This window comes from Homo sapiens, chromosome 17 (assembly GCF_000001405.40).
Source record: "Homo sapiens chromosome 17, GRCh38.p14 Primary Assembly".
NCBI classification, from domain to species: domain Eukaryota; kingdom Metazoa; phylum Chordata; class Mammalia; order Primates; family Hominidae; genus Homo; species Homo sapiens.
This window is the reverse complement of record NC_000017.11, coordinates 20320261-20346037: the sequence shown is the minus strand read 5'-3', so window position 1 is coordinate 20346037 and position 25777 is coordinate 20320261. Positions and strand designations below refer to the sequence as shown.

Genomic DNA, 25777 nt, shown 5'->3' with positions numbered 1-25777 from the left:
TTTCTTTTTTTTTTTTTCTTACCTGAGAATCAATCTAATGTTTAAAACAATACACCGAAGGGTAAACTTCAGTTGCTCATTTAATAAATATTTATTGAGTAGCTACTTATTGCAAGCTAGGCCCTTTTCTAGGCACACAAACATCCTACTCATGGGAGTGAAATAAACACAATAACCATAGATAGATTAGGCAAAATATACAGTGTTAAAGGAGAAAAACTAAAGCAGGAAAATGAAATGTTTACAGGTTTGAGAGGAGGGATAGTGGGAATTCTAGGATGGCCAGAAAAGTCCTTATTGAGAAAGGGGCTTTGAAGTAAAGAACTGAAGGAATGGAAAAAGAAAGCCAGGAGGCTATCTGAGGAAAAGGCATCCCAAACACAGGGAACTGCCCAGTACAGAGGTGTGCCTGGGGTGTTTAAGCAACTGTGATAGATAACGAAGAGCAAGAAGTTTAGTGTAGCTGAAGCACAGCAAAGGGAATAAGAAACAGAAGTTTAAGTGAGAGAGAGAACAGGGCATATTGTGTGTTGCCTTCTAGGTATGAGGAGGAACCCTGACACATACTCAGAGTGAAATGGGAGGCAATCAGATGGATCTGAGCAGAAGAATGACATCATCTGACTTATGTTTTAAGTATGGCCACTGAGTTAAGGATTAATGAAAAGAGGTTTCTTTAAAAAAAAAACAACAGACCAATTAACAGTCTATTACATGCATCTAGAGAGCAGATGGTGGTGGGTTGGAAATGGAAGATATGACTGGCTTCTGGATATATTCTTCAGGTACTCCTGACAAGATCTGCTGACAGATTAGATGTGAGGTGTCAGAGAGAGAGGGGAGTCAATGATGACACCTTAGTTTCTAGCAGAGCAACTGCAAGAGTTGCCATTAATGCAAGTAGGAAAGACCATGTGAGGGGTAGGTATGAGAAAGAATATCGGTACCCCAATCTTGGACCTGGTAAGTTTGTGATACCCAACAGTTCGTGACCAATCAAACAGAGATGTCAAGTAGGCAGGTTGGTATAGAAGTCTGGAATTAAGGAGAGAGATCTAGGCTGGAGACACGCATTTGGAAATCATTAGCACACACAAGGTAGTAAAAGTCATGAGAAAGAAGATTGAGGACTGAGTCCTGGGACATATCAGTCCTGGGACATATCAATGTGTAAAAGGTGGGATATGAGAAGAAAGCAAAACAGACTATGACAGATGGACTGGAAAGGCAGGAAGAAAAGCCAGGTGAGTGAGTGAGATCCTGAAAGCCAAGTGAAGACACTGTTATGGAGGAGAGAGTTTTCCATTGGGTCCAATATTGCTGACAGGTTAAATAAAATGAGGTCTAAGAAACAATGTCTAGATTTACAAATCAATGGTAAACTTGAGAACAACAATCTTGGAAGAGTGGTGGGAGTGAAAATTACTGGTATCAGCTCAAGAGTGAATGGACAAGAAATCTGAATCCATGAGTATAAACCATTCTTTCAAGGCCAGCATACCTAGGGGCATGACTGTAGATGATCTAATTTTCTTCTTGTTTAGCTGTATTTTTCAATTCTTATATAACTATATGCTATATTTTTACCCTTTAAAAGTTTTTTTTAAATCATATCTATATGGCATTTTTGAAATGCCAGATGAAGGTATTAAATAAAAATTCATTAACTTATAAGACCAAAAGACCTCTTGAACATTTCTAGATTATATAAGCTGATTATCATTTTGCTCATGCTTATACATAAAGACCAAGGAAGACTAACAGTTTCAGGAGAAGTATTTCTTGCTTGATAAAAATCATCTAACTCTAGAATATTTTATACTCATCAAATATACAAAGTAATAGTCAAAATATGGAATTCTATAACAAGAATAAAAGGGGACAAGTGCAGAAAATCATCTTATTTTGTAAATCAAATTTGTCTAAATTATATGAAGCTACTGTTGAAAAATATGGTGTGTTTCCTACTGAAATACATTATCTTTTAAAAGAAAGGATAATGGCATGCATGTAGGGTACCTTTAAAAAGAGGATTCACTGCATAACAGCACCTTGGTTTTAGCACAAGGATCAACAAATTGGTGCTTGTGGAGCAAATCCAGCCCACTGCCTGTTTTCATAAGGAAATTTCCTTGAAATGCAGCCACACTTATGCCCTTTATAATTCACAAGGCCTAAAATATTTACTAACTGGCTCTTTACAAAAAGAGCTGTCCAATTCTTGGTTCAGTAGAGCTAAGATCCTCTGTTGTATTTTAGTAAGTTTTACCCAGTATATTGAAAAGCTGACACGGAACATGAATCCCCATGTGCAATCCCTTGGCAATATTCAGATTAATTTGAGGATCTGGTATTTCAGCACTCACACATTGACAGCAAAAAACAAAAATTTAATAACTAGAATTCTGTTGCTAACAAGGTACAGTGTCAATGTAGCATGTAGCTAGCTTCCTTTTGTAACTCAGCAGATATTATGAGAATTCCAACAAAACTGGCTTAAGATGTGTCATCAAACTAAAGGCTTTAAATAGACTTTAATTGTGAAATAATCAGTACACTCCTGGTCTAACAACTTCTTTTATTAAAATGAGTGCATGCTACATTATTTTCTGGGTATGACAATTGTACTATTTCCTTATTGCTAAGGATTTAGACTATCTCCAACTTCTTGATATTACAATGCTATAATAAATATCCTTATACATAAGTATATATGTAACATATATAATTATCCTTAACATATATATCATATATACTTAACATTATATATATTTAACCTATTAGCCTATTGTATGTTACATACATGTAATAAATGTCCTTAACACATATGTGTATGTGTTTACACAAGTCATATTTTCCTGTAGGATCTTGTCCCAAAAGTGAAGTTGTTAGGTTAAAGAAGTGACATATTTGAAATTTTGATACATGCTACTAAATTACCCTGCAAAAAGGATTCATCAATTTCATTTAACAAGTGTATGAAAACGCCTTTTTCTTCACATTTGCCAATACTTCCTATTTTTTAAATAAAATATCAATATGATTGGAAAACATGGTGTCTCATTGTTAGTTTGCATTTTTCTGATAACCAAGGAAGGCTGAATATCCTAGTAAAAGTATAAAATCTGTTCATCATGAATATTAGCCCAAATTAGGATTCATTTCATAGCACATAATTGTCTCCTGTTTTTTGTTTTTGTTTCTGTTTTTGCTTTTTTTTTTTTTTTTGAAATGGAGTTTTACTCTTGTTGCCCAGGCTCGAGTGCAATGGCATGATCATGGCTCACCACAACCCCCGCCTCCCAGGTTCAAACGATTCTCTTGCCTCAGCCTCCTGAGTAACTGGGATTACAGGCATGCACCACTACACCTGGCTAATTTTGTATTTTTAGTAGAGATGGGGTTTATCCATGTTGGTCAGGCTGGTCTTGAACTCCTGACCTCAGGTGATTCACCCACCTTGGCCTCCCAAATTGCTGGATTACAGGCGTGAGCCACCACACTTGACCAATTGTCTCCTGTTAAACGCTGCTATAGGCTTACCTGTCATGCTCTCCATTTTCCTTCCTAGGAATCTGCTGATTTAGTCCATCATCATCATTGCCAACAGTAGTACCATCAGTTAGGGTTCCTGATAATTCTGTGCTATTACTTCTGTGCTTCTCCATTTCTTCTTCAACCTTGAGTGAGAGTTTGATGTTCAGGATGATTGTTATTGCTTTATTCAATACAAAGAACTTTTTTCTGTTTTCATTGATTTCATCATCACTTGACTCAGTTTAATTATAATTTTAGTCATTAAAATATTTGGTGCTTACTTTAATTTTATCACATCTGGAACTATCATCATATAATTATAATTATTATAATTTTATCATCAACATTTTTGTAAAGTCAGCTTCATTTCTGTTTCAATGAATGAGACAGAATTTCCCAAAATTTCAACCAGGGCCCGTCTTAATTTTGTGCTTTTATTCCCAACCACCCTTCACTATGTATTATGAATTTTTACCTCATTTGACTGGCACAAACATGGAAATAAGAAGATAAAGACACAAAGCATGTCTTCTTCTGTCTTTGCCACTTGACTTTCATATTCAACAGCCAGATTGAGAGGATACAACACTGTGGGGTTTTAGGAAAAGAAAGGAAGCTTTCCCTTTTCTGCACTAAGCTATTCTTTTCCCCCACTAACTTTTGTCTTTTTTTTTTTTTTTTTTTTCATTTGAATCCTGGGATATCGAAAAGGTGAAGGTGCTTACTGAAATACAAGTCTGGCACAACACAAAAAGCAGAGTGAAACTGCTGAGCTAGGGTGGAATTCTCGAAATGAGATGCTCCCCAAATTTCACATTCAATAGCCATAAAAGTTTATAGCTGGAGGATATACAGTATAAGAATCTACTTTAGCTCACTCTCTATTGATAACTGGGCTAAAGCCAAAAAAGATTAAAATGATTGATCCAAAGCCCCTGAAGTGCCATTACCTAGCATTTTGTGGCACCAAAAGAGACAGTACAATTCCATAATGCTGAATCAGACAAATTCAGCAAAGTAATCAGATAGGTTAAAAGTGTGACTTGGGTAAAATAATTTAATGCCTTAGAGGAGGGTGGGAGGCCTGCCCTAATCAATGTAGAAGACTCAGCTTTCTACTTTGGCATCATATACTAAGTGTTTGGCTGAGCATTTATGCTACTTACATGGAAAAAATATATGTGCCAAAACTTACTGTACTTTATTAAGCAACATAACATAAAGGTCTGATTCAACAGAAACAGTGGAGAGTAGTTATATTAACAAATATATTAAAGTGTATATACTTGTTGTTGAAAAATATTTAAAGTGGTCATGATGCAATTCTAAGTTCCAACAGTTTGAGTTAAACAGATAAACCTGAAAAGCACAATAAACAGATTCATTGGCCAGGAATATTTGCTGCAGCTCTCAGGGCTGGATACTTTCTTTTTCTTTTCTTTTCTTTTTTTAGTAAGAGATGAGGTCTCACTATGTTGCCCAGGCTGGAATGCAGTAGCTATTCACAGGCACGATCCCACTACTGATCAGCACAGGAGTTACTTATGACCTGCTCCATTTCCGACCTGGGCTGGTTCACCCTTCTTTAGCAAATCTGGTGGTGCCCCGCTCCCAGGAGGTCACCATATTGATGCCGAACTTAGTGTGAACACCTGATCGGCATAGCACACTACGGCCCAGAATGCCTGGCCTCAAATGATCCTCCTGCCTTAGGCTCCCTAGTAGCTGAGACTACAGGTGTTTGCCACCACGCCTGCTAGATACATTTTTATATCTCTTCTTAGTCATTGCTTCCTTTCTACTGTATTCCCATCTTATTGTTAGACACAACTCATCTTTAAGTCGGTAAAAGGAAAAAGCCCTCAAGCTCATCACATTTCCTTTAGCAATTTTCTTGACGCCTCTCCTGGTTCTGAAGGTCACATGATATATGGCTACATGAGTTTCACAATCCATACGCCACTTGGAAGACTGACAGAGAGACTTAGGTCAATTAAGAAACAAAGATTATGAGAAAGTTTTCCTAAACTCCTATTACTTAGAAATCATCTGTTTCTACACACAATTACAGATTTAGACAACCAAACTGTATGATTTTCATATGCTTTTCCTAAGTGGAAAATCAGAATGGACCAGATAATTGAGAGAAAAAACAAAGAGTGGCAGCAAGTAAAACCCTACCTCTTTATGAAGTTGAACATTTTCTTTCTTCAAAGCCAGGAACTCTTCTTCTAATGTGTTGACCTCATTCTTAAACTTTTGCATGTCTTGCTGTAATTCTTCATGTAGATATACTTCTGATGTTCTGTCAGAATCTGGTGGTAAAGAACTCAGATTTTCTAATTTAGGTTTCAGGCTTTTATAGTTATTTGTACTGCCACTGTCACTATTTTGGTTCATATTTTTTGTCATTTGCAAATCAAACTCTTGGTCTTCTTTCATTTCAACCGTAACCACTTCTGGGTTCCTTGCTTTCTTAGTGCTTGCATCATTATGAAAGTTCTTATCTGTACTAAAAATATGTCCAATGCCTGGTTTGTTATCATTGTCGCAGTCTAATTTATTTTCATGTAAATGAAGCTTAGAAGATGACTGGCAAACATGTTCCTGGGACCCAGAGTACGGATGGTAGTATGAATGGATGATATTTTTGAGACTGGGTTCTTTTTGTTCAGGAAATGTCTCGAATACCACTGAGACAGATATTTCAGATGCATCTTCTTCCTCACAACCAGGTATGTTATTTGTCAAATTAAAGGGAATATCCTTCACATCTGTTCCTCTTGTAGAGTTATCAAGTAGTGGCTCTTCCTCAGGACAAGCCGGAATTTTGTATTTTTCATAAATTTCACCAAACCTCTGCTTTAACTCATTTATGACGAGTTTTAATTGGTTTTTCCACTCTAATTTGCCTTGTTCAATCCGCATTTCCTCAGATTTTTGCACATGAGGAAGTACTGGATATATAGGTATATCCTCTCTATCACAATCCTTAGCCATTTCTGGTTCTTGAGACGTTTTCTGCAGATGCAAAAGTGGAAGATTAATTTGCTTGTTTTGTTTCTTGGGTGTCTTCTCTGTTGGGCTACATGTTTTAAAAATAGCTTTGTCCTTAAATAACAGGTATAAACAAAGAAAAATTCACAAATAATTAAAATGAAAATTTAACTGTTAAACTTCTTCATCTAGGTTTGGCTACTCCCAAATCACTGGCTTGTAACTAAGAAGTTAAAAAAAATTGTCTTAGCTGAAAGGAGGAGAAAAATATGAACCAGCAAACTTAACTTTGTCACTGTTTGTTTGGAATAAACTTAATTCATTATGTGTTAAATCTACCAAAAATGAATTAGCAGATGATTTCTAGTGTTACAAAGGCTTCCTCACTTGAAAAGTGAGCCCCTACAGTACATGTAAGTACTACATATTACTACATGTAAGTACTATATATTACTACATGTAAGTTCTATAGATTACTAACTGGAGGGTAGGCAATCTTCAAATTATTAGGAGCCCGAATCAACACCAATCAGAAACAAAAGCAAATTCTTAAGTTTTAATTCAAATTATATACTGTAACATCATAGGGTTATATATCTAGACTATCTTCTTCAGTTCAGTTCTAATATATACTACGGTCCCCTAATAACACTAACTAAAACTTTAAAGATAATTCTTACTAAGTTTCTGCATCTAAAAAGTTAGAAAGTTATTGTTTGTACCCTAACACCAAAGATCCCATTCTGCAAGGTATGATTCCCTTAATAGGCAGTTGGGTTGATTTCATAACCCCACTCTCACTGAATGTAGACCGTGAAGTCAATGAAAGGCCACATCTTTAACCTAGGCATTAGTAACTGGCAATATAAAACTGCAAAATTTGAGCCACTGGCCATGATTACTCCTATACCATGAATCCAACTTAGTGGCCATCACTGTTAAATTGTTCATAATTTCTGTTGCTTAATAATATAAGTCAATAATTGACATTACCTTCTTTATCCCATAAGGATATTGTAAGAATGGAAGAGCAAACAAAATTCTGGAATGTTTGCCTCTACTCCAAGGGTAAAGATTAACTATAAGTTATGATAGATTCTAACAATATTGTGTTTTATAACTAGTTTAAATGTATTTAAAATTAAATATTAAGTAAGGATCTATTGATTCTCAAAGGCTAGTCTGAGAGGTAATTTCATTTGGGCTAGCATATTAAAGCAAAGAAAAGAGTATTAAACCAGAAATTTAGATTTTAGTTTAAATGTTTCCACACTTGTGGCTGCTTATTTTCGCATCCTTTAAGTCTTTCTTGCTCTTCCTCTGATGTCAGCTCCAAGTCTTGTTCTGCTGCAAAATCCAAACGTTCAGTTAAACTACTTAGAACAGTTAGATAAAAGACATAGTCTTTATAAAAATAGATTTTAAATTACATTTCATTTTATTTCATAAATTGAGAGTTTAAATGAAGCTTGATCTTTAGTGGAATACTTACTTCTTTAAGAAATAATTCTAATTCTCCAAAACTTCAACAAACCACTTTCTGGGAGACACTAGATGCCACCAGGTTAAAGAAATACAATCATGTTGAAGATTCACTCACAGATTCATCCACCCAACATCAATGAACAAAGCCATCACAAACAAAACAAAATTTTGGAATGCAGTAGCAATATTATCAGGCAATGCTGCATACTGTTCTCCATTTCATAATAGTACCTTATTAATGATTTCCAAAATGACTGTGGACACCTTTATTGGTGTACAACCTCTTCCTAACATCCGAAATGGTTCCCTGTATTATTCTGACAAATGTATTAATATTTTCATCTTTTAAAACAGACTGCTAAAAATAAATAAATAAAATACATAAAATAAAAAACAGACTGCTAGGTGAAGTTGACCCTCATCCTCATCTTTCCCCAGGTAAACAGGTATCTAGGTATCTCCTTCCTTAGGGCTGCCCTAGAACTTTACTGATTTTTCTACTGCATCTCCACCACCCGAATTGTCAATTATTGCTTTACATGTCTATTCCCTCTGCTCCTTGACTGTAGGGAACAATCTTGAAAATCATCTTTGTACAAAGAGTCATTATCTATTTTACTCAGCAATTATGTATTGAGTCTTGCTATGTGCTAGGCACTAGGATTTAAAGAGTGAAAAGAAAGCATGTCAGAGATGACTTTTCTAGAGATCCTGCCCGAGCTGAGGCTTAAAGAGTGAGGCTAGCCTAATTAGAAGGGGTAGGGGACAGGAAAGAGTGAGAGCATGACAGGCAGCAACAAAAGGCAGAAAGAGGCCTGAAAGAGTGTATGTGTTTGCCTGCAGTCGAAGGATGGGTCAGCAGGACAGGACCAGCAGTTCAGTAAGGCCAGAGAAGGGGCACACGGGGGAAAGGGCTAAAGATGGAGAGCTGAGCAGAATCACATTATGAAAGCCTTACGTATAACTTTAAGATGCTTGGACATTAATGTTCTCAAGAGTGGTCCCTGGTCTTATTTGCATTGGTGATAGAACACTGTCAATGCCAAAACCAACATCCCTAGCGAACACATTTATTAACGCAAGGTGGTAGCTCATGTGGACACAGCCAAGGAGATACTATGCAGCAAATTCTCAATAAGTCTCATTAATTACTGACTTGGAAAGTCAATTCTATAATACATAAAGTCATAGAAACGATAGGAAGTCACTTAATATTTGCTTTTGGAAGGTGTTTTTTTGTTTTTGTTTTTGTTTTTTGAGACGGAGTCTTCCTCTATTGCCCGGGTTGGAGTGCAGTGGCGCAATCTCGGCTCACTGCAACCTCCACCTTCTGGGTTCCAGCGATTCTCCTGCTTCAGCCTCCTGAGTAGCTGGGACTACAGGCATTCACCACCATGCCTGGCTAGTTTTTTTTGTATTTTTAGTAGAGATGGGGTTTCACCATATTGGCCAGGCTGGTCTCGAACTACTGACCTCGTGATCCACCCACCTCGGCCTCCTAAAGTGCTGAGATTGCAGGTGTGGGAAGGTGTCTTTTAAATTATAGTGCATATAGTTATAACTAACAGCTGTGAATTCAGAGCTGTAAAAATAAAGCAAAGAAACCACATTGTGTTTGAGTCAGCAATCTTTAGGTCTCTACTAAGTTATCCTAAATATAATCCTATGTTAGTCCCTAAACATACTTAGTCCCTATATTCTAAATATAATCCTACTTCCTAAAGAAAATCCTGCTTTCCCCTAATTCTCTGTTATCTAGATGTTGCTTTGGTTAAAGGAAGAACACAAATATCCTGCCAAAAGGTATTCTGTTCAGTGCAAAAGGTGAGTAAACACAAAGCACATTTTACCAGAAAAAGTTTTTTTAAGTCAGAACTATAGCTCTATGCAGCCAAGCAGAGGCACTCTAGGACTGAATTCTCTATGCTTCTTTGTTACCTTCTTTGCTCTCTTTGTTTTCTGGTAGCTGTGATTGGCACAGGTCATGGAGAGTATCATTCCCTGAGAGAAGTACAACCCCAGTGTCCATCTTTTCTCGTTCTGTTAAGTTCATCTGTCCCAGTTCTTTGGTTGCTGACTGATTTTCAGGCATTGATGGTGATACAGATGGACATTTATCATCAACTTTCAGATTCTTGGATCTCTGACAAGTCTCATCACTAAGGGTCAAATTAGTAGGATGCCAATCTGAAAAATCCGAAAATGAAGTTTTCATTTTTAGGATGTAAATAACACAATAATTTGACTAACTTGTATACATGCTTTCTTCACAGAAACAGTCCCACATCCTGCTCTCTCCCACAACACACTATGCATTCAGGATTATTACATTTTACATGTCCTATGCTTACAATTCATTCAGGTAAGTTTAATTAACTATCATCTCTCACTTTTCTACATTTTTACCGTTTACTATTACTTACTTTTATTCACTCAGCAGTCTCTATTACATATTTTGCTTCCCATTAAGATTCTTCGTGGATATAAATCTTTTAAAACAGAATTTATGTCTAACCATTTTAAGCTTAAATATACATGACAGCATTGTATGTATGTATTGTAGAGACACAGGATTTACAAAAACTCATAATAAATATACTTTTAAAACTATTTTAATTATAATGAGATGGTCTTTCCTCAATGCACCACTATCTTCAGAATTTCCTTTCAAATACTTGGATAAATTTCATACATTTATTTGCAAAATAAGAGCTGTTAAGGGCTCTAACTGTTCCCATGTGAGAACAGGATTAGTCTAGGACCACACTAGGTCCAAATAGCACACAGTGCCACGAGACAGGAAAGGAATACATAACAAAAATATTTTCCTTTTTACTATATAAACAAAATTGTTGGGATTTAAATTTTTTTTTTTATTTTTTGAGACGGAGTCTCGCTCTGTCACCCAGGCTGGAGTGCAATGGCGCAATCTTGGCTCACTGCAAGCTCCGCCTCCCGGGTTCACACCATTCTCTGCCTCAGCCTCCCGAGTAGCTGGGACTACCGGCGCCCTCCACCACGCCTGGCTAATTTTTTGTATTTTTAGTAGAGACGGGGTTTCACCGTGTTAGCCAGGATGGTCTCGTCTCGATCTCCTGACTTCGTGATCCGCCCGCCTCGGCCTCCCAAAGTGCTGGCACTACAGGCGTGAGCCACCACGCCCGGCTGCATGCTTGTTTTTAAAATATTTTAGTTTTTATTTCTAAAATAGTAAATAACAAAAGACACAACCGACTTAAATAAAAGCTCTTTGGAATTTGCAATAATTTTTCTTTATTTTAATTATTTATTTATCATTATGAAGAGAGTTTGAGATCCAGTCATTTGATAGAAAACCAGAGCTTCCTGTGTCAATAAGGACTGACCTCAAAAATGTAATGTGACCAGACAAAAGAAAGTTGCAAAATATGTAGAGTGTAAAACAATTTATATACAATTTTAGGACATGAAAACAAATTCTACATATTATTTATGACCATACACATATGTAATAAAATGTTTTAAAAGGGAATGGACATAATAAATTCTTAATTCAGGGTGTTGGTTACCTCTAGGCAATAATATTTAATCATATAAAATGAACCCCAGGCCAAAAAGTTTCAGAATCAATGTTTTAAAAGACTGTGTCCACCATATAGTTATTAAGGGTAATTAATTGCTTTCTTCATTTCTGATAATCAAAACACACACACATATGATTTGCTGACCAGAATATCTGACTGGCTTAAAATCATCAGTATAGCCACACTATGATGAAATAATTAAACTTAAAGCACAACTAACATATTGGCAAGTAAAGTTTGTCTTATCTGATAAGTTTTGGTGCTGCACGTTCACCTTATATTCTTTCCACCTTTCTAATACCCCACTCTTCTTTTGAAGTATTATCTCATTTTACCACCCTCCATCATATCCACTTGCTTCTTTTCCCTTCATTTACTCTCTGTACTCTCTGCCTTCCACATTCTTTATTCCCCCTTTTGCTCTTATCCTCTTCCTTCTATCCTGACATTGCATATCTAGGGTTCAGTACTATCCACAGTTCCAGGCATTCACTGGGGGTCTTGGAACATATCCCCCATGGATAAGGGGGGAAAACTGTACATTTTGTTATGTAGGTCTATGGGTGCTGTGCTGTGTTATGTGGCAAAACATAGGGAAGAGACCAGGGATAAGGATCTTTGCAAAGACTTTTCAGCTGCCAGTGGAGAAGAGCTCAAGGGAGATCAATGTACTCACTCTCACTAATCCTCTTCTGGGGCAGATGCTGGCAATGTTTACTGAGTTCTAGCTATTTTCCCTAGTACAAACAAGGCTCAAATTCACCTCCCATTTTACCTCCTATGGACAGAACCACTGGAAAGATCACTCCCTTAAAGAGCTTATTCACTCTGAGCCACACCATTCATTCAGTGAGAAGCTTAAGAAGAAACACTGCCACAGTGGTGGCAGGTTGCCAGGGAATACTACCTGGTATGAAAAATATATATGAACAGAACTATCAGCTCACTCAACCTGCCAGAATGTGCCAACAGTTGTTACTCTCTCTGGTGAAAACAAAATTATTTTTCATTTATTGTAAAGAAAAACACTGGCATTTCCATGACAGAGCATTTAGTTGTAGATGAGCCATATTCTAATAATATAGACTGTTTTCAAGCTCATCCCTAAAAGGAAGAGAACCAGAGAGGAACATATTTATTCACCTGTAGTGTTCACTGCCTGATCTTTTTAAGTGCAAGGTAAGTATGCAAGACTTTGTGATTCTAGTTTTATAAAGTCCAGCTCTTGAGATTATCCCGTCCCATCGCTAGAGTCTATCTGGACCCATCTCCTAGAGCATGATGGTCCAGTTAGTGCTGTGGAATACTGCATGATGCCATTTTCCCCACCCTCCCCGTTACATGGCAAACGTCTACAGAAATCACGCTTTCTCAGCACGTCAAATCATATGCCATCAGATCCTGTTCTGATGAACACAACATGAGGAAAACAAACGCAAGGACAAAGAACATCTAAAATGACAGAATCAAATTACCATGGAACTTTATTGTTTAAATATTCAAAAAGATATCCACCACTGTTTTATTCCAACTATATGACTAGTCTGGAAAAAGCAAAACTACTGAGACACCAAAAAGACCAATGGTTGCCAGAAACCAGTGGAGAGGAAGAGACGAAACAGTGGAGGACAGAGGATATTTAGGGCAGTGAAACTATTTTGTCTGTGATACTACAAGGGTATATACATGCCATCACACATTTGTCCAACACCATAGAATGTACAACACCAAGAGTGAACCCTAACGTAGACTGTGGACCTTGGGGGTGATGTGTCTGTCAAGGTAGATTCCTCAACTGTAACTCTGATGAACTCTGATGGGGGGTACTGATAATGAGGGAGGCTATTCATATGTCAGGGGTCATGGGGAATATGGAAAATCTCTGTACCTTCTCAATTTTGCTGTGAATCTAAAACTGCTCAGAAAATAATATTATTAATTTTAAAGCACATACTCACTGAACTTGCTATTACCCTAAATTATAAAAAGACAGAGTCACCTTGAAAATTGCAAATCACTAAAGATCAAGGTAACAGAATACGAGTACTATCTCCCAAATTGAAGCATATAAAAACACATAAAGCAATTAATTTTAATTGTATACTTAGGCAAAAAAAATTCACAAAAATGATTGAATATCTGATCTTATTTCATAATTGTAAACAGGGATTTAGTACAATATGAATCAAAACTGGTCCATCCATGAAAATAAAATGAAAGACAATTTTTATTCTAATTTCAAATCAGAACTTATTATGCCTACTTTATCCCACAATTTTACTGAAAGGTTAATCAGATAAGAAGGACAGATTATAATTACTTAATATTGCCATAGTAACTTATGTACCAATACCTGTTAAGTATTCACCAAATGTCAAAACTGTAAGCAGCCTTGCTATTTAATATGAATGATGCAGCTGAAACCAGTACCATGTTATGGTCTATCATATTATTTGCTATTGTATTATATAAAATGTTAAGATAACACCAAAAATTTACTCAGGGGCATAGCTGCTGGGCAGCAAAGATTTCATATAGCAGGCATGAGACACCCATCCTTAGAAAGGCTTGCTTGCAAGGCTAGTCCTTGGCTGGTGTTTGGGACCTTGAATTTGGGAGGGTTCCCAGCATTCCCTAACTTAGAAGAAGGGAGTGGCTCACTGTGCCTAAACTGTTTGTGCAAATGTGGTTTACTATGAACAGTTAATTTCCTCCTGGGAGTCTAGAGTTTTGTTACATGTGAGGGAGAGGAGAGGTTGCCTATGTGACTAGCCTCCATCGAAAACATGGGTGCTGAGCCTCTAATGAAACTCTGGTAAGGTAGACAACATTGCACATGTGTCGTCAAAATTTGAGGCTGGGGGAATTAAGCATATCCTGCTAGCTACACAGGAGATGACTCCTGTAGCTTGTGCCTGGCTTCCTCCAGACTTTGACACATGCACCTTTTCCTTTCTCAAATGTTGCTTTGTGTCTTTTTGCTGTATTAAATGTAATAAATCAAAGCCCCAAGTATGACTATCTGCTGAGTCCTGTGAGTCCTTCTCAGTGAATTACCAAACCTCAGTGAAGGGGGTCTTGGGAACCCCTGATACAATTACATTATACAATTTTTTATTGTTTAAGTTGATGTGTTTCATGTGACTACAATCAGAAGGTAATTTCACAGAATACCTTTCCCTAATCTGCTTATTTTTTTTTTTGACATTTGCCTTGGAGATTCCTGTACTTCTATATCCACCGGACTAAAGGCATTAAAAATGCATGAAACAATGATGTCAGAAAGTAATTTTAAAAAGCAACAATCCTATTTTAACTCAATTAAAAATAGAAAATCTTAATGACTGACAATATATTCTACAGTATAAAAGTTTCTGGAACAAAAAATTATAAGATCACAGTCAATTTTCTCCCACTAGGTAGGATTTAATTCATTTTTATAATAATTGTGCAGCAGGCCAGGTGCAGTAGCACACATCTGTTGTTCCACCTACTCAGGAGGCTGAGGCAGAACAATTGCTTGAGGCTAGGAACTAAAGCTGCAGTGTGCTATAATCACACCCGTTCAAAAAAAAAGTCCAGGCCGGGCGCGGTGGCTCACGCCTGTAATCCCAGCACTCTGGGAGGCCGAGGCGGGTGGATCACGAGGTCAGGAGATCGAGACCATCCTGGCTAACACGGTGAAACCTCGTCCCTACTAAAAATACAAAAATTTAGCCAGGCGCGGTGGCGGGCACCTGTAATCCCAGCTACTCAGGAGGCTGAGGCAGGAGAATGGCGTGAACCCGGGAGGCGGAGCTTGCAGTGAGCCGAGATAGCGCCACTGCAGTCCCGCCTGGGTGGAAGAGCGAGACTCCGTCTCAACAACAACAACAACAAAAGTCCAAAAAAACCCTGCAAATAGTGGAACTGATCAGTAAGGATCAACAGGACTTTTAACTTATCTGGCCGGGAGAAGAGACATCTTATGTATAGATGGTTAAAAGTGTGGTAATCCAATTGACCACATATTCTAGTTAAATCACAGATTACCAATTTCTGAAGAAATGTAATACCAGAAAAGCACTTCACATTTAAACTATGTCAGATAAAACAATTTGTATTTGACAACCCAGAAGACACTTAAAATCTTGGCAGACCATCATCATTGTGTCATTGTGGTGCAGATATAAAGAAGTGCATTTGAAATGTGTTCTAATAGTATTTTCTTTAGGAATGGAATTCAAAAGGAAGCAGTAAGAGCAGAAATATCACAAGAGGGTAAATGAAAAGGGAACTGCACTAACAAAAGGAGTCAGGCACTGACTTTTCTCCTGATGTGACCAAAACCCCAAGTACTGAGAACTGGTATATTCAGCATTTCACTTTATTTTTTTCTCCAGGACATTATATTAGTTTCCTGCAATAAAATATTTTTAAAATGTCAGTTTGTCTAAACTGCTGGCCTGTAAACTATTTCTAATCAAAACCTGAAATTGTGTCACAACATGGCTGTATTATGATTCCATGTCAGAGGAAGGATATATACGTGTATCTGGTGGTGGCTTCCCGTTGTTGCTGTCAGATGTTTGTTTGGGAATGCATTCAGAAGAGCCTATCAAGGACTTGAGTACCAAACAAGCATTTCCACAAAAAAGCAGTTAAGAAAGACTACACTTTTCCTCACATATGACCTTAGGTTTAGACAATTCTAGGAAAATGGTGGTACATTAACTCACCAGTCTTGACCATTTTCCCTGATCCTGTACAGGGAGCTGCTGCAGTTACAAAAGTTAGGTAGGATCTTGGTAGGTGTATTCTTCCACATTTGAACATCAGAAGTACTGATCACATAAACAGCGAACCCCACAACTCTATGATTGTTCTTTAGAAGACAGTGCCACTGAAGGCTTTTAAAAGCTTAACTCACTTTACTTTTTAGTAATCTTACTGGTTAGAATTGATACTCCCTCCTTGAAATTCTCACCTTTGTAAATTTTTGCAACATCACTTTATGATTCCTCTCCTCTTTTTCTTTAGCCACGGCTCAGGCTTCTTTCCTAATTCCTCTGGGAAATGCTGATATTCCCAGGGTTCTGTCACTGGCCCTCTGCTCATTCTATACCTTTCCCATCATGGACAAGCTCACTCAGATCTACAACTTTGCCTCAGTTATTCCAAGTCTGCAACTCCAACCTCAGAGCTCCATCTCCAGCCATAAAAATTTATCCAATTACCTACTGAAAATATCCCACATGGACATTTCAGTAAACTCAGCAATGCAGAGAAAACTGTTAGTCGTGACTGCTGACCTGCTGCTCTCCTCTATACACCTGAAAACTGCCTACTCCCTCGTGTCCAGGTTAAATGCTAGGGCACAAGCCAGAAACCTGAGAATCATCTGAGATTTCTCCCTATCCCCTATCTTTTTACATTCAACAATCACTAAATCATATTAACTGTACCTCTTTTCTGCATCTGCTTTATATTTCCACTGTGACACGTTTATTTTATGTTTATATTTCCTAGTTAAACATGGGCTCTTAAGTAGTGGCTTTTATAGGGAAAAAACAACTATTAATGTTATTTCTTAAATTAAAAAAAGTTTAAGTAAAATAAATGAAAAAGGCATCATGCCAAGAAAAAGACCAACATTTTTAAATGAATAACTGAGCTCCTTAACCTTAGTGATTTCACCATGGATGGGTGAAAACCTCACAACAGACTGACACTAGTCTGAGGACAGCACAAGGAAACTATAGCTCTGATAAATGCAAATGTTTCTTTTGTTTCCCTGTCTCTTTATGTGGTTATCTTCCAGCTGCTCTCCATATGAGGGGTCAGCAAACTACAGGCCATGGAGCAAATCCAGTCTGCCTTATAGTTTTGTAAATAAAGTTTTACCGGAGCTCAGTCATGTGTATTTGCTTGCCTTTTTATGACTGTTTTCATACTTCAATGGTAGGGTTGAGTAGGAATGACAGACCACATGAAAAAGCCCTGTACAGAAAATGCTTGCCAATCCCTGCTTTATACCATAACCAGATTGCCCTAATACTCAAATCTAATCATGTGACTCCCCACTCCAATGTGTTCCTACAGTAAACATTGCTGTCTCCCTACCCAATAGCGATTCCCTGTTCTGTCTTGCTGGAGAAACACGAATCTATTTGGATATTTATCATGCCAATAGCCCTCCCCACTCCAAAAGAAGAAATGATTATTCTAAGCTCATCATAGTAATTACATTTGCTTCCCCAGTGCCTGGTTTAGGAATGAGCATGTGGTAGGACCCAGCCAATAAAATGTTACAGGAAGTCAACTGCACCCTTCTGAGTCTTCTCCCTAACTAAAAGAAACATGTAAAGAAAAGCCACCCTTTCAGCCTTCAGATATTGTCGGTGAGACCATGATGTTTGGAGCTGTTGCTAATTAGTCAGCCATGAAAACAGACATGAACAAAACATCGTGTTATCACTGAACCATCAAAATAACTCTGGTCCCTACTGTTTTAGCCATTGTTAGTTAGGTCACCTAGTATTTACAGCCCAATGCATTCCACCTGGTAAATTTCCCATGGCCTACAGGAAAAGTTCTACTCATTTCTTTTTTTCTTTTTCTTTTCTTTCTTTTTTTTTTTTGAGACAGAGTCTTGCTCTGTCACTCAGGCTGCAGTGCAGTGGTGCGATCTTGGCTCACTGCAGCCTCTGCCTCCAAGGTTCAAGTGATTCTCCTGCCTCAGCCTCCTGAGTAGCTGGGACCATAGGCACGCTCCACCATGTCCAGCTAATTTTTCATGTGTATTTTTAGTAGAGACAGGTTTCACCATGTTGGCCAGGATGGTCTCAATCTCCTGACCTTGTGATCTGCCCTCCTTGGCCTCCCAAAATGCTGGGATTATAGGCATAAGCCACCATGCCCGGCCCGAGATCTACTCATTTCTATAGTATTAAAAAGTCTGGGCAGGGAGTGGTGGCTCACGTCTGTAATCCCAGCACTTGAGAGGCCAAGGTGGGTGGATCACTTGAGGTCAGGAGTTTGAGACCAGCCTGTCAAACATGCCGAAACCCTGTCTCTACTGAAAATACAAAAATCAGCTGGGCATGGTGGCTGGCGCCTGTAATCCCAGCTACCTGGGAGGCTGAGGCACGAGAATCACTTGAACTCAGGAGGCGGAGGTTGCAGTGAGCCAAGAGAACGCCACTGCACTCCAGCCTGGGTGACAGAGTGAGACTCTGTCTCAAAAAAAAGTCTGTCATGAGCTTGCCTTAGGTATTCACTTCATTCCCAACCATTCACATCTCATATGTTTTGCACTGGCAAAACTGAACTGCTCATAAACCCTGCAAAGTTCACTCAAGCATCTTACTTTTGCACTCGCTGCTCCTTCTGTGAAACACACAATCTTCTGCCCACATCATCCTTCTGCCTCTTTACCTAGAAAAGTTCTACTCACTCTTCATGCCTACCTTAAATCTTACTCACTTTTTTACAGCTTTCATTCCTCACCACATAAAGTGTCTGGCACATATTTAACATAATAAATGATCACTATACGGTTCCAGAGGGCATCTAACACAGTAGTAGGCACTGAATAAATAATTCATCAAATAATTAAAGTGACAATGATAATAACAAGCTCCTGGGTTTTGTTGGTTTGTTTTTTTTCTTTTTTGAGACAGGGTCTCACTCTGTTACCCAGACACGAGTGCAGTGGCATGATCATAGCTCACTGTAGCCTCAAACACCCAGGCTCAAGCAATCCTCCCACCTCAGCCTCCCAAGTAGCTGGAAGTACAGGCACCTGGCACCATGCCCAGCTAATGTTTTATTGTTTTTTTAAAAATTTAGTAGAGATGAGGTCTTGTCATGTTGCCCGGGCTGGTCTCGAACTTCTGGGCTCAAGTGATCCTCCCATCTCAGCCTCCCAAAGTGGTGAGATTACAGGCATGCACCACTGTGCTGGCCCCAACAGTATTTTTAAATGTCTGTATTCTGTAACATTAGAAAAAAAATGCTTAGTACTAAAAGACATTTGATAATTATTTGTGAAGTGGACAAATGAATAAATGATTTCCTTGAAAATTCTGTTGAAAAAAACACAGAAATTAAATAGAGAAAGCTCTATTCTATTATGAGCACCTCAAAGACCAAAACTATGTCTATTTCATGTTTGTCTCCCATAACGTGCAAAACCTAACTTAGAGAAGTTCTTTGATTAATATGTACTAAATTAAAGGTGTCCTCTTACAGTTCAGATTGTCCAATGCATTAGGCATAACATCTTGGAAGCACAGAAGCATTTTTTGTTATTGTGAAACATTTTTATACTTTCATTATAATTTGTTGAGCCTAGAGTTGGGCTATTTGAATATTTATTATGATAATCTTTTGGCTAATGGTAACTGCATATCTTGTTCTAACAAAATTACTGTTAACATAGCAATTAACCAGCAGGTAGAAAAACACATCTTGTTCTAATGAAGTAAATATACCTCATTCGATTTCAAATTGGGGGAAAGTCAATAATAGCGACACCTTGTTGGTTTATAAGTATGTAACATGACCTGTTCTTCTCAACAAGGAATTGCTTTTCTGACTTCTGCACTCAGAAGGTATCTTTGAAAAATAATTTCCCATTAGTATTAGTGCACATTGGGTATGTTTGGCAGGGTTTTGTTTGTGTTTTTGTTTTTGTTTTTTTCTGAGACAGGGTCTCACTCTGTCATCCAGGTTGTGATCATGATCACAGCTCACTACAGCCTTGACTCCCAGGCTCAAGCGATCCTCCCATCTCAGTCTCCCAAGTAGCTGGGATTACAGGTGTGCACCAAAACACCCAGCTAATTTTGTATTTGCTTTTGTAGAGATGTGGTCTCACTATGTCACCCAGGCTGGTCTGGAACTTCTGGACACAAGCGATCCTCCCACCTAGGCCTCCCAACTTGCTGGGACTACAGGTGTGGGCAGCACACCTGGCCATTTCACAGTTCTTATTGCTATTTGTTTATGGTGCCAGAAAGGTATTGCTGAGTTTCCAGTTTTGAAACTAATTTCTTTTAGTGACACAAATCACTATGTAATATAGTTAGCCTTTGAACAACACGGATTTGAACTGCAGGGGTCTACTTATGAGCAGATTTTCTCCCACTTCTACCACCTGAGACAGCGAAGACCAATCTTCCTCTTCCTCCTTCTCCTTAGCCTGCTCAACTTGAAGACTATGATGAAGAGTTATATAATGATCCACTTGCATTTAATGAACAGTAAGCGTATTTTTTCTGCCTTATGATTTTCTTAACAGTTTATTTTCCTAGCTTCCTTTATTGTAAGAATACAGCATATTAATACATATACCATACCAAACATATCTTAATTGACTATTTATGTTATCAATAAGGCTGCTGGTCAACAGTTAGCTATTAGTAGTTACGTTCTTGGGGGAGTCAAAAGTTATACACAGATGTTTGACTGCAGAGGGAATCAAGCATCCCTAAATTCCACATTGTTAAGGGTCAATTGTGATTGATATTCATTTACTAAACATAAGTCATTTATTTTAAAAATTAAATAGAAGTTCCAATTTCATAATAAGTCTAATTCATTATAATGTGACTATAAAGAAAACATACAACTTACTAACTCAAAAATATCTTTTTCTTGGCCGGGCGCGGTGGCTCACGCCTGTAATCCCAGCACTTTGGGAGGTCGAGGCAGATGGATCACGAGGTCAGGAGATCGAGACCATCCTGGCTAACATGGTGAAACCCCGTCTCTACTAAAAATACAAAAAATTAGCCAGGCGGGGTGGCGGGCGCCTGTAGTCCCAGCTACTCTGCAGGCTGAGGCAAGAGAATGGCATGAACCCCAGGGGGTGGAGCCTGCAGTGAGCCGAGATCGTGCCACTGCACTCCAGCCTGGGCAACAGCGAGACTCTGTCTCAAAAAAAAAAAAAAATCTTTTTCTTATTTATACAAAAATATCACATAGGATTTTAGGGACTATAATTAATTTTTTTTCAGACCAGATTGTTTGAAAAAATAAATGACCTATAATTAACTTTTTAAATAATTGTGACATCTAACCTACCAAGAAATCTAACCTATCAACAAAGAAATAAAGATTTTTTAAAACTGCTCTTTCATGATCAAAACTTCCTGACTCTTACTTCTTTTTTACCTATGGTAGGACCACCAAAAATAATTCACTATCAGAAGTCTTACCTGGATTGTTATTTTGAGGAAGACTTTCAGGTGTCTGTTTTTCCTTATATTCAGGAACTAGTTGCTGAATGCTATGGATAAAAATGTAATAAATGAAATTACTATTTTAAAACAAATGAAAAATACCAAATATATTAAATTTTTAGAGTATTTCAAACAATATCAGAGTTAATATCAGAACTTTAATTATCCCATATACTTCAATTTGTGAGTTCTACCAACTTCTCTTTAAGCTTCTGAAGAAGAAAAAAAGATGAAGTACTCATGAATTGAAGGGAGTATAGTTCAGTAAATTAACTCACATTAGCTTGGCATAATGGAAAGCATCCTAGCTCTATTACCAGCAGCTATTTATTCTCTGACAAGTTGCTTCTCTTAGGCTCAATGTATTCTTCTAAAAAGCACGGATTTTACTGCCTTATTTCACTAGGTTGTTAAAGATTTAACAAGAAAACGTTTTGTAAATGCTCAGAGAAACAGTGAAGCAATGAAATAATTTGTTCTTGAGCTTTATTGCGGAAATGGTTTTGGAATCACAAATAAAACCCAATGTGTATTTTTTCCAGAGGTTCTAATATTCAAATGTTGCAGTTTTCCAAAACTGTTATTAAGTTCTAGTTTTATTAGTTCTATTCTTTGTGGCTTATAATTTGGGGCATCACAGCTAGTTCATAGTTTGTAACTAAATTTACTTATAAATATATTATTTCATCAAACTAGATAGCAACACTGTCCACTATTACTGAGCTCATCAATCACGCCAAGGGGAGAAAGCTAATAGATGTCAAGACCTAGCTTGGACTACTGTTCCATACAGACTCAAACTCTGAATCGGCAGATCTTTGTTAGAAGGATGCTCAATCCCCATGTTCATCTCCAACTGACATGGAAAACAAAATTCTACTTTTTTTTTTCAGTTCCATGAAAGACATGCAAGTTGACATTCTCTCATTTCTGAGATACATACTGACAATATATTTGCACACAACATCCCACGTGTTACTCAGCTCCATTGATCACCTTACTGCATATTTTTGTAGTGAAAAATCACAATTTTAATATTAGGTGATACCCAGTTTGCTTTGACTCACACTGTCTTTGGAACTAGTCAGCAAATAGTCAAATGAACTTCTAGTGACTGCGCAAAATATGGACCACTTCAAAAATCTGTGCATCATCCTTATGCAGGCAGGGGCCATGCTAATTTCTCTCCATTTTGTTCCAATTTTAGTATATGTTTGCTGCTGAAGCAAGTTTTGTTTGTTTGTTTGTTTTAGACTGAGTCTCGCTCTGTCACCCAGGCTGGAGTGCAGTGGCGCGATCTCGGCTCACTGCAAGCTCCGCCTCCCGGGTTCATGCCATTCTCCTGCCTTAGCCTCCTGAGTAGCTGGGACTACAGGCACCCACCACCACGCCCGGCTATTTTTTTTTGTATTTTTTAGTAGTGACGGGGTTTCACCGTGTTAGCCAGGATGCTCTCAATCACCTGACCTCGTGATCCGCCCACCTTAGCCTCCCAAATTGCTGGGATTACAGGCATGAGCCACTGCACCCTGCCAAAGCTCTCATTTTATACATGGATATTCATGAGTCATGGATGAGACTTAGCTCTGTTAAATCCAACTAACATGCTTGAGACTCAGAATTCTGGTGATGGCTTCCTGCCACAAATCTGGGAAAGGATAATATGGGACATTCCACGATCTAAGAAAAGGGTCCTCAGCATACAGATCTGGTAGCAATGAGAAAAGGAAACTCATCTCTTTCTGCAACATTATTTGAACTGAACCCCGAGGGCCTAAAGGATAATTTGTCATGAAGGTTTTAGCTAAGTCTAGGCTGAGACAAAAGCATAACATGCGGGGTTTCACCATGTCGGTCAGGCTGGTCTCGAACTTCTGACCTCGTGATCTGCCCTCCTCGGCCTCCCAAAGTGCTGGGATTACAGGCATGAGCCACCGAGCCCGGCCAACATGAAGTTCTTAAGGATGGAAGGAACCTGAGCGACAGTAGAATATGTCTGCTGTATAATAGGTATTCAGTTTATGTTTTTTTTTTTTTTTTTTTGAGACGGAGTCTCGTTCTGTCGCCCAGGCGGGAGTGCTGTGGCGCGATCTCCGCTCACTGCAAGCTCCGCCTTCTGGGTTCACGCCATTCTCCTGCCTCAGCCTCCCGAGTAGCTGGGACTACAGGCGCCCGCCACTGCGCCCGGCTAATTTTTTGTATTTTTAGTAGAGACGGGGTTTCACCGTGGTCTCGATCTCCTGACCTCGTGATCCGCCCGCCTCGGCCTCCCAAAGTGCTGGTATTACAGGCGTGAGCCACCGCGCCCGGCCCTTATGTTTGATGAATAAATTGAGAAAATGGATAAACACAGTTGGGAAGTGCAATATTTTTAAAGAAAACTCCTGTAAAGTAGACCAACACTTTTGCAATAGTAATAATCCTTTATATTTGATCCCGTCTCACTAAGAGGCCTGGGCCCCTGACCCCTCTGACGTTTCCCCATCCCGGGTGCCGTGGGGCCTGCGGGCACCAGAAAGCCAGTGTCCCCGACAGGACGGCGCGCCCGCATCCTTCGCCTGGCCATTACCTCTTCTTCCTATCCCTCTTGTCCACGCCAGTGTCTCCAGGAACCAAGACGTGCTCCACCCCAGGGACGTCGCCCGACCGGGCAGCTCTGTGGAGCTCGCCAAGATCTTCCAGGCGGACATCGTGCTGGGGCTGGTCTAAGGCGCCCTCACCGTGCTTGCTCTCGCTGCCGACGCTGTTTTTCCACCAGCTGTAGGAGAAGCCCGAGGACCACTGGTCCCCCGGGTAGCCCAAGTACCACTGGTCCTCCTGGCTCCTGACGCTACCGGTTTTCCTCGTGGCGTAGACTGCCGGCTTCGGAGACCCCTCAGCCCCTCCCCGCTTTTCTCCACCCCAGGAGACCATCAGTAGCGAGCTACTGCCTCGGCCACAACCTCCCAGCAGGATAGCCCGCGGTTTCCAATCTGCGAAAGGAGGACCGCTAAGCCAGAAATGCCAAGCCAAGCGATCACTGCCACGCCAAGCCAAGCGACCACTGCCAAGCCAAGCAGCCACTGCAAAGCCTCGCGGGTAAGGCCAAGCCAATCCGTTACAGACTAGTGCGCCTGCCCACCTGTGACGTCACGGAACCTGTGACTTCACTGCAACTGCAGCTCCAGCCTCCCAGAAAAAGACTCCTTGGCCTGCACGTCGCGCTGCAGCTCCAGCCTCCCAGAAAAAGACTCCTTGGCCTGCAGGTGGCGCTGCAGCTCCAGCCTCCCAGAAAAAGACTTCTTGGCCTGCAGGTGGCGCTGCAGCTCCAGCGCCAACCTGGGCTGGCTGGTCCTCCCTCGGAGGTTTCGGGGTGGCGGCGCCCAGCCTGCCTGTCATGAGTGCCGCTTCACAGCGCCGCCGGCGCACCTGCTCCTAGGCTTGCTCGGTTCAGGGGTATGGGCCAGTTCCGCCCCCGGCTTGGCCACTGCAGCGAAGTTGCCCTAGGGTCCGCGCTGCCAGGACGCAAGCGGAGTCTGATGGCTGGGTCAGAGCGGCCTGTCAGCCCGGCTGGAAGGGCCTGCCCGACGCCGCTGCCCGCCCAGCTGCTACTCGGCCTGCGCCTGGAGCCAGGGACCAGCTCTGGGCATTCTGCTGCCTTAGGATGGGGCCGAGCAGCCGCTCCCCGCCCTGTGCCGCAGCCGCTGCGCGCATCTGCCCAGGGTCCGTGCAGCTGGCGACCCGGGCAGGTCGGGGAATGCCTGGTGCCACCGGGATTGCTCGCCTCTAGTCCGTCCTGACCCTTCAGCCCGCGAGCACCAGTGAGATTGAAGAAAAGTGACGGCCGGGCGCGGTGGCTCACACCTGTAATCCCAGCACTTTGGGAGGTTGAGGCGGGCAGATCACTTGAGGTCAGGAGTTTGAGGCCAGCCTGGCCAACATGGTGAAACCCTGTCTCTACTAAAAATACAAAAATTAGTTGGGCGTGGT

The 25777-nt window shown here is 39.8% G+C and overlaps 2 pseudogenes across 1 annotated transcript in view; both read right to left on the bottom strand.

The window, feature by feature from the left end:
• Window positions 1-24864, bottom strand: part of CCDC144CP (coiled-coil domain containing 144C, pseudogene) — an 81018-nt pseudogene extending 56154 nt beyond the window's left edge. The window contains exons 1-6 of the transcript NR_023380.1: window positions 24378-24864; window positions 21785-21855; window positions 9958-10206; window positions 7808-7881; window positions 5719-6558; window positions 3544-3680 (exon numbers count right to left, since the gene is read on the bottom strand). The product of NR_023380.1 is annotated as a coiled-coil domain containing 144C, pseudogene (transcript). The remainder of the gene's footprint in view (window positions 1-3543; window positions 3681-5718; window positions 6559-7807; window positions 7882-9957; window positions 10207-21784; window positions 21856-24377) is intronic.
• RNU6-467P (RNA, U6 small nuclear 467, pseudogene) lies at window positions 22928-23037 on the bottom strand (annotated as a pseudogene).